We start from the raw sequence: 7,979 nt of genomic DNA, 5'->3' as shown, positions 1-7,979 counted from the left end.
AACATCAACATACTACCATACTGCACTGAGGAGCATGTTTTAAAAGCCCAAGGGTGAGAAGCTGCTTTTGATAGCAACTTCAGGCTAAGTACTGCCTTCAGAGACGCTAAGAAAATCTAGATTTAACCATTTATTAAAATAAACCTAGTTCTCTCAACTAATTCAACAGGTATACCAACTCCTAAACTCAGCCTCTTACTGCAATTAGCAGTTTTAAGCTTCCGTGGCCTGTTCTAGTCTTAGAAACAGCTGGGGAGTGGCCTTTTAAAAATTAAGGATACCAAAAACCTTTCAATTCTCCCAAATGGAGATTCCCACTTCCCAATCCGCATGCTTTCGGGAAGCTAAAAGCTACATTTTTCTAGTGCTTCTAATTCTGCCTTCTTCCAAATCCCTGAAAAGCTAGGGGCAAAAATCTTTACGTGAACAGTGACAGTGTGGTGTGGGGGTCTTAGGAATCAGACTTCCTAGATTTTAACACCAATCCATCCCTGTTCTTTGAAAAATTCCTGAATTCCCACCAGTAAAATGATGGTATTAGATTCAGTCAACACAGAGGTAATGGCACTTAAAACAGTGCCTGGCTATTACTATCAGATGCTATATAGATGTTATTCACTGGTTCCCAGTATTTATGTAGTCTAGCCCCCACAGAACTAAGAATATATCTAAGTGTCTTGAGACTCCTGTATTAACAAAGCTCATTTTCTACACATCTAAGACAGGGCTTGAAAGATCACATATAGAAGTCTAAGGTTAATGTGGATATAGGACCTTAGGCATTTTGCACTATTGTTTTCCCTTAAACATGTACTATCCCATACATATCTCAAGACAAAAAGTAGCATGTCAAAGCCCCTTAAGCATTCACGTTATCTGACCACCAAAACTGCATCACAACTGGATAAAGTGGTTCACACCTATAATCCCAGCACTTTGGGAGGCCAAGTTAGGAGAATCACTTGAGGCCAGTTCAAGACCAGTATGGGCAACATAGCAAGACCCTGTCTCTAGAAAAATAAAAAATTAGCCACACACAGTGGTGCACACCTATAGTCTTAACTACTCAGGAGGCAGAGGCGGGACAATTGTTTGAGCCCAGGAGGTTAAGGCTGCAGTGAGCAGTGATCACACCACCACATTCCAGCCTAGACAAACAGAACAAGATCCTGCCTCAAAAAAAAACAAAAACAAGGCCGGGCACAGTGGGTCATGCCTGTAATTCCAGTACTTTGGGAGGCCAGGCAGATGGATCACCTGAGGTTAGGAGTTCAAAACCAGCCTGGCCAACACGGTGAAACCCGTCTCTACTAAAAATAAAAATTAGCTGGGCATGGTGGCACATGCCTGTTATCTCTGCTACCTGGGAGGCTGAGGCAGGAGAATCGCTTGAACTTGGGAGGCAGAGGTTGCAGTGAGCCAAGATCGCACCATTGCACTCCAGCCCGGGCAACAAGAGCAAAACTCCATCTCAAAAACAAAACAAAAAAACCTGTCCTAATCTTTAAGGTAGGCAAGAAACACTGCTTCCCACACTATCCTCCTCTTGGCTCTGGAAGCTTAAGTAACCTGATGCCAATAAATTCAGGAGATAGAGAAAGAACTTTGGGGGACAGGGGGGCCACGGACACAAAACTCAACAATTGTGATTTTGGCATTCACTTACTTCTGTATCTTTTCACTAGCCTGGAGACGTCAAAAACATTATTTTTAAAGAGAGACCGTAACCAACTCCAGGATTCTGGATGTGTTCTGTGTTTTAAATCTACTGTATAAGGATGAGAAATAATCAGCATAGGACTTCTTCAGACAAACAGACAAAAAGTAGTTTTATAATATTTTATTATCAATAACAAACAGCTGCTCTAATGTGTCTGTCCAGCAGCTGTTAAAGAGTGGAGGACACCCTTGACCCTAACAAGGAAAACAAATTAAGCCTTTATGTACAAGCAAATTTAGAGCTCTTTTAAGTGTCCAAAGCTATTAATTAGTTTAATTAAGGCATTAAACTAATTCTGAATTAACATTTTTATAACCAAGAACTAAAATGTTCAAATTTTTTTCTAGTACAAAAAAATTAAATTTGCTTTAGTTATAAAAGAGCTCTGTCAATATACACAAACTATATACTTCAGACATTCACAAAAATGTGAGCAGAAGGCTTATCAAAAGACATTTAATACAATTAGTTTTCAACAACCCCTTGGTGGTCCACATCTACAAAGATATCCAGCCCAACCCAACCCCCCTTCCAAATCCCACCCCCACAGAAAAGCACATACTTACCAGAATTTTTAGCAAGTATGGTTTGGGAATTTTTGTGGTTTTTGTTTTTTAAAAAAAGGCCCCCAGGGCAAGTTATTTACAGTTTAATTGCCACTGTCAACTGATCTGGACCTTGATCGGGACCGGGACCTCTGGCGATCCACAGATGCTGGAGACTTAGATCTACTTGAAGAACCACGTTTCTGGCTCTTCTCAGGCACGGGAGACCTACTAACAGAACGGGACTTGCTCCGGCTCCGGCTCCTGCTCCTGCTTCTTGACCGGCTGTAAGATTTGCGACTACGGGAACGGGATCGGCTACGAGACCTAGAGGAACTTCTGGTCCGGGATCGAGACCTGCTTCTTGACCTACTATGAAAAATGAAAAGAAATCAGCCTAGATAAGACTCTACAACAAACCCATTAAATACAACTTTTGACTTTAAAAAATTAGAGATACCTGTGCCTTTTGCTGCCTTCAATTAATTTTATTTTTCTCCCATTTATTTCCTTTCCAGAAAGTTTTTCAATAGCATTCTTTAAGTCACCATAAGAGGCAAACTCAACCACCCTAAAATGGAAAACAGCCACTTTTAAAGTATATACATCCTGTAGTCTCACACATTGCACACAGCAGTCTAGGTAAGTCGTTTCTATGTTCACTTTTGCTATTGCTACTATTGAGTCTTATTTCTGGATAACACAGCATTAAAAGAGCAAAGTTTTGGCACTGTTATACTTTGAGCCAATTCATTGTTGAGGGGGTTCCCTATGCACCGTGGGATGCTTAGCAGGATGCCTAGCCCCTACTGACTACATGCCAACAGCATCCTCTCTCAACCAGTTGTGACAACCAAACTTGTCTCCAGACACTGCCAAAGGTGTGGGGGGGAGGAGGGAAGCAGCAAAATTGTCTCTGGAGAATCTCTGCATTCTAACATATTCAAATTTTAAGTCCTCAAAACTAAGTTCACAGTAAAATTTTCCGGATATTTTTAAAGACTTTCACAGTTTCCAGTACATACCCTTCATTTAATTTAGGTCGGTGTGCATCCGCAAACGTTACTTCCCCAGCTTGTCTCATGAAATCTTTGAGATCCTTAACACAAGATAATTGTGTTAAGCAAAGAAGAGGAAAGGGGACACACAAACAATCACATGATATAAAAAAAACAAGACTACTGAAAGAGAAGATGTTAGATAAAGTACAAACATGGCATTTACCACACTTGTATTCTATCAGAATTCAAAAATTATCTATGTCAGGGCACGGAATAAGCAAATAGCATATTGCTTTTAAGCAAAATGCTAAAAGAAATTCAGATTTTAACATTAAGGTAGTATTAGTCTATGCTGAGCTCAGTACAAAAGAAAAAAAAACAAACAAAAAAACAACAAAAAAGGAAACAGTACATATTTTTAAAGTAAAGACTAAAGTAGAGAAGTTTTATTTAAAAAAACAGAACATTTACAAGACACCAGTTATTTTGTGCCCCATATGTCATTAAAAAAGTTTACTTTACCTTTATTATTATTTCCCTAGGCTAGTCAAGCAGCAAACCATTAATCGGTCGGAGAAACCTTCATGACATATGCCCGACTGGCTCTTCGCCACCCACTTGAAGGACACTACCCAATCGATGGAAGCCTTTAATCGCACAGCCCTCCCTATTAGCGGACTATTGGCGGATGCAGACATGTTCTACTCGAGCAGTTACCAAGGACCACTTTACTGCGATCAGGATTCCAACGACCACCTAATTTCGTATCTTTCAACTCTTTTCGACCGGACCTCTTATTCGGAAGCGTTACAGGAAGACAGGTCTCAACTTAGGGATCAGATCACGTTATCAACGCTCTGGGATCGCTGCAACCTGGCACTTCAAGGAAGTGCACCGATAACGTCTAGACCGGCAAACACAGATCTAGAGGTGGCCAACTGATCACTGTAGGAGCTGACTGGCAAAGTCAACCAGGCCCAACCAAGAGTGACCAAGACAACGATTAGGATAACCCACAGGCACTCCTCGTCATAAGGCCAACGACACAGACAGGCTGGCAAATAAAGGGTTTAATATTTGGTTAAAAATTGATTTTAAAAAACAAGAAAAATATCCTCAAAACATTTACATTTGATCACTAATATTAAAGTTCAAAATATCCCCCAAATTACATTTAATTAAATGTTTAAAATTACAATTCCATTAAATCCATTAATTTAAAACTACTTTTAATAAAACAATACAACATTAGCTACCCATTAACTTTTTTAAAAAGCCACATCAAAATAACTCAAAACTGTATTTCAACAAACCTGCCAGCTGACTCTTGAGGATAAATTCTCAACTATAAGACGATTTTCTGTTCTTACAGGTGGAGCATTTCTGAGGAAGAAAATTCGTATTCACAATGGAAGAAATGCAATGACAGCACTTGTGTTCAACTGTGGGCAAGTTCAAGCCATCAGATATCACAAGCCATTCTAATGACTTCCGTCAATAGATTTGTGTTCTATGACTCATATAGATTCATCAAGAACAACTGGCTAACGTGGGAATAGAAGAACAGATTATACGGCAGGACCCAAAATCATCACTGCTAATGACTCCTGAATCTTAAATGCTACCCCTACAATAATTGTTCAATGCAGCCATCCACCCTTCACATACCGTCTATCATTTCGAGGTCTGCGACTACTAAAACGGTCAGAGTATCGTCCTCTACCTCTTCCACCTCGTGACCGAGCCCTAGCATGTTCAATAGTAACCCTACAAAAAGGGAAGAAAAATCTCCGTTACACACTTAAGCTACATAAATCTACTTAGAAAAATATGCCAGCAGACCCAGTCTGCTCTATGTCCCAGGGTTATCTAGTTACACAGGAATCTCACCTTTCACTACAGAGTTCTTTTCCATCAAGCTCATACACAGCATCATCTGCATCCCTTGGATCCTCAAATTCCTAAAATGTAAGCATAAGACTCTTAACATTGGCTTTAGAAGAGTATTCTACAACACATTAAGAGCACTGAAATCAGGAGACAGAATGGGAAGAGTATCTTAACGACACTGCCATACAGTCAAACCTAATCAAGGAGCCACTGGGAGTGGGGTTCCAGTGAGCCGGCAAGTTAAAGTTGTTTTCAGCCTCAATAAAATTCAGACATAAGGCTGGGTAACATTTTCTGAAGGCAAATATTCCACCCGGACTCAAGATCGAAAACAACTGCTTATCAAAACTCTACCTACTTAGCAGATAATTCACCCAGTTCTAAATACTTACCACAAAACCAAAGCCTCTTTTCAGATCAATATCTCTTATCCGTCCATATCCCTTGAAGAATCTTTCCACGTCCTTCTCCCTGGCCGCTGGATTTAGTCTCCCGATGAATACCCGACAGCCACTCATGATGTCCGGCTAGTACTTCCTATTAGAAAGTAATTCAATCGAGATAATAGCAATGACTGTCACAGAGAAACGCCTGATTAAACAATCAAAAACATCAACGGCATAAAATGTTTACACAGTGATGTTATGAACGAGATTGCCAACAGAGCCTCTAATGAGGCCAGGTTACCTGCAGACAAAATGAAAACCCAGCTCCCTCCCAACACGGTCCGCTACTGGGCCCAGACCGCAGCAACCGCAACGCCCACTGCCACCTTTCCAACTGCGCAGCCGCACACTCTCCGGGCTCTCCGGCCCCCTCCCATCTGCCGCAGTTAGGAAAGGCCGAGAAGTGCGGGCGGAGCCGCCCGCGCCCTCCGCAAAGCCAGCCCAATGGCGGCCTCGCGGGCGCGTCACAGCGGGTGGAAGCCAGAATCTCGCGACGCCTCGACCGCGCCTGCGCCAACAGCAGCGGGCGGGCGCTCTGCGGCCACAAAATGGCGGCGGTGGAATCAAAGGCAGCAGAGCTGCGCGTGCCAAATTCCCTCTTCCCTTCTCCTCCCAGCAACCCCCTTCTCGGGGGTCACTGCGGCCGCCCTACAAAAGGCCCAGCCGCATCGCCAGCAAAGTCAGGGAGATCCCGGCCCACTATTCTACGTGTCCAGGAGATGAAGACATTAAGACTGGCAGGGACGGGCGCACAACCGCTGTGTAAAAACGACCCGAACAGTGACCGCCCTTTCACCTCAGTACCCCTCAAACAGTATGCCAAAAGGGAGACGTGCCCCAGCGCCCACCTCGAATCAACTGCGCTCATTAGACGCCATCCTCCGCAAAGAGAGCAGCCCCGGCCGCTCACGATCTGAGCGGCCATGAAGAAGCCTCGATCCGAGAAGGCTTGCCCTCAAAGTGAGCCACTCACCTACCGGACGGGGTCTTTGGCGGCTGAGACCCAGACAGGTCCGTAGTCTGCGACGGAGTCGTCGACCTCCACGCAGACCAGGACTTAACTCGTCTACGCCACTCCACAACTGACGCACTTAGCAGCTCTGGCGCTCCACAAAATGGAGGGCGCGTCCTACGTCACTTCCGGGGACGCCCCTGGGCCTTGGGTCCACCCCGTTGGACCTAGGGAAGACGGAAGTTTTGGGAGGGCCGGAAATTTAGGAGGATGTGGGCCTCTCTGACACTGCGAGTGACCGAACCCTGCTCCCGCGGTGGGTGGGGTCGGGGGCGAGAACTCGTTTGGGCTCGGCCGGCTGGTGCCGGAGTCTGGAGGGACATCTGTTGACGTCGTTCGCCCCTGCTAAGTCCTTGGCGTTCGGTTCATCATCATCTCTCCCAGAAGAGTCTCCTGAGAAAAGTGGCAACCCTTCTTGTATCTAAAGTTTTTCTTAGACACCCAGAAGATTACTAATTAGGAGAAACTTAGCTTTGCAGAAATACCTGGCCTTTCCTTAGCTCTTGCTGCTTGCAATTTAAATTTGCCCTCAAAGCAGGGAGCTCCTAGATGTTCGAGTTCTTTTTTCAACCATGCCACAGCTGTGTGGTTTTGTTGTGGTGAGAAGACTAAGGCACTGAAGTATTTTTTAAATGAAAGGATTTTCACTGATGAAATGTTGAAAATGGGACTGCAGCTAGAAGGCTGTCTTGAATTGAGGCTGGAATACAGATTTCTGCATGTCCGTCACTCTGGGAGAGTGGCTGGAAGAGGTTTCAAGCTGTTTTTTGTTGTTTTTTTTGAGACAGTCTTGCTCTGTCGCCCAGGCTGGAGTGCAGTGGCGCGATCTGGGCTCCGCCTCCCGGGTTCACGCCATTCTTCTGCCTCAGCCTCCCGAGTAGCTGCGACTACAGGCGCCCGCCACCACACCGGCTAATTTTTTTGTATTTTTAGTAGAGACGGGGTTTCACCGTGTTAGCCGGGATGGTCTCGATCTCCTGACCTCGTGATCGGCCCGTCTCGGCCTCCCAAAGTGCTGGGATTACAGGCATGAGCCACCGCGCCCGGCCTCAAGCTGCTTTTAAGTCCAAATGGTATTTGGTTAATCCTCTCCGTTCAGATTTCTGTAATGTAACACATGAAAGTTTACAATTCTTTAGAAACAGACAATGCCGTGCTTTCAAAGTGGGTGTAAAACACAGCCCTCCATATTAACTCCCGCGTTGTCCCGATAAGGTTGGTAGACCTAGAAACTTAGGCATAAAGAGATTGCTTAACTTCGCTTTAATGCTTTTATGTAGAACCCAGTGCACCCCATTTTTGAGAAGTGCCTGGAATGTGGAGTTGCATGCTTGCAACTAGAGTTAAACAGAGAAAAAGTAGTTC

At 44.2% G+C, this 7,979-nt stretch overlaps 1 protein-coding gene and 1 long non-coding RNA gene across 13 annotated transcripts, besides 5 other annotated features; one reads left to right on the top strand and one right to left on the bottom strand.

Annotated features, from left to right (window-relative positions):
• Nucleotides 1–1,825: 1,825 nt before the first annotated feature.
• On the bottom strand, nucleotides 1,826–6,689 carry SRSF5 (serine and arginine rich splicing factor 5). Of its 12 annotated transcripts, none has more exons than NM_001039465.2 (8): nucleotides 6,451–6,689; nucleotides 5,549–5,693; nucleotides 5,157–5,227; nucleotides 4,935–5,033; nucleotides 4,580–4,649; nucleotides 3,291–3,364; nucleotides 2,726–2,836; nucleotides 1,826–2,637 (listed from the first exon to the last, which is right to left on the bottom strand). In NM_001039465.2, the coding sequence occupies exons 2-8, from the start codon at nucleotides 5,672–5,674 to the stop codon at nucleotides 2,370–2,372; spliced, it is 819 nt and encodes a 272-aa protein (NP_001034554.1). In that variant the 5' UTR covers nucleotides 5,675–5,693; nucleotides 6,451–6,689; the 3' UTR covers nucleotides 1,826–2,369. The 12 variants fall into 12 exon arrangements, with proteins under 12 accessions (NP_001034554.1, XP_016877082.1, NP_001307143.1 ...); XM_017021593.3 differs by having other exon boundaries at nucleotides 1,826–2,634; NM_001320214.2 differs by having other exon boundaries at nucleotides 6,576–6,689.
• Nucleotides 2,117–3,316: an enhancer, noted in NCBI's record as "CDK7 strongly-dependent group 2 enhancer chr14:70237232-70238431 (GRCh37/hg19 assembly coordinates)". NCBI's record gives its function as "activates an origin of replication core promoter dependent on BRD2, BRD4, P300/CBP, MED14 and CDK7 cofactors, with strong dependence on CDK7, by STARR-seq in HCT116 cells {active_cell/tissue: HCT116}" and the evidence as "EXISTENCE:reporter gene assay evidence [ECO:0000049][PMID:35650434]".
• Nucleotides 5,763–5,812: an enhancer, noted in NCBI's record as "active region_8649". NCBI's record gives its function as "activates an Ori minimal core promoter by ATAC-STARR-seq in GM12878 lymphoblastoid cells {active_cell/tissue: GM12878}" and the evidence as "EXISTENCE:reporter gene assay evidence [ECO:0000049][PMID:35858748]".
• Nucleotides 5,809–6,573: an enhancer, noted in NCBI's record as "NANOG-H3K27ac-H3K4me1 hESC enhancer chr14:70233975-70234739 (GRCh37/hg19 assembly coordinates)". NCBI's record gives its function as "activates a minimal SCP1, AML or CMV promoter by ChIP-STARR-seq in naive and primed H9 embryonic stem cells {active_cell/tissue: H9 hESC(naive and primed)}" and the evidence as "EXISTENCE:reporter gene assay evidence [ECO:0000049][PMID:30033119]".
• Nucleotides 6,118–7,548, top strand: LOC100289511 (uncharacterized). The gene has a single exon (NR_029378.1). It is a non-coding gene; the product is annotated as an uncharacterized LOC100289511 (long non-coding RNA).
• Nucleotides 6,683–6,732: an enhancer, noted in NCBI's record as "active region_8648". NCBI's record gives its function as "activates an Ori minimal core promoter by ATAC-STARR-seq in GM12878 lymphoblastoid cells {active_cell/tissue: GM12878}" and the evidence as "EXISTENCE:reporter gene assay evidence [ECO:0000049][PMID:35858748]".
• Nucleotides 6,773–6,822: an enhancer, noted in NCBI's record as "active region_8647". NCBI's record gives its function as "activates an Ori minimal core promoter by ATAC-STARR-seq in GM12878 lymphoblastoid cells {active_cell/tissue: GM12878}" and the evidence as "EXISTENCE:reporter gene assay evidence [ECO:0000049][PMID:35858748]".
• Nucleotides 7,549–7,979: the final 431 nt, after the last annotated feature.

Source organism: Homo sapiens, chromosome 14 (assembly GCF_000001405.40).
Source record: "Homo sapiens chromosome 14, GRCh38.p14 Primary Assembly".
NCBI lineage: Eukaryota > Metazoa > Chordata > Mammalia > Primates > Hominidae > Homo > Homo sapiens.
The sequence above is the reverse complement of the archived record's forward strand: the minus strand, read 5'-3'. Positions and strand labels throughout refer to the sequence as shown.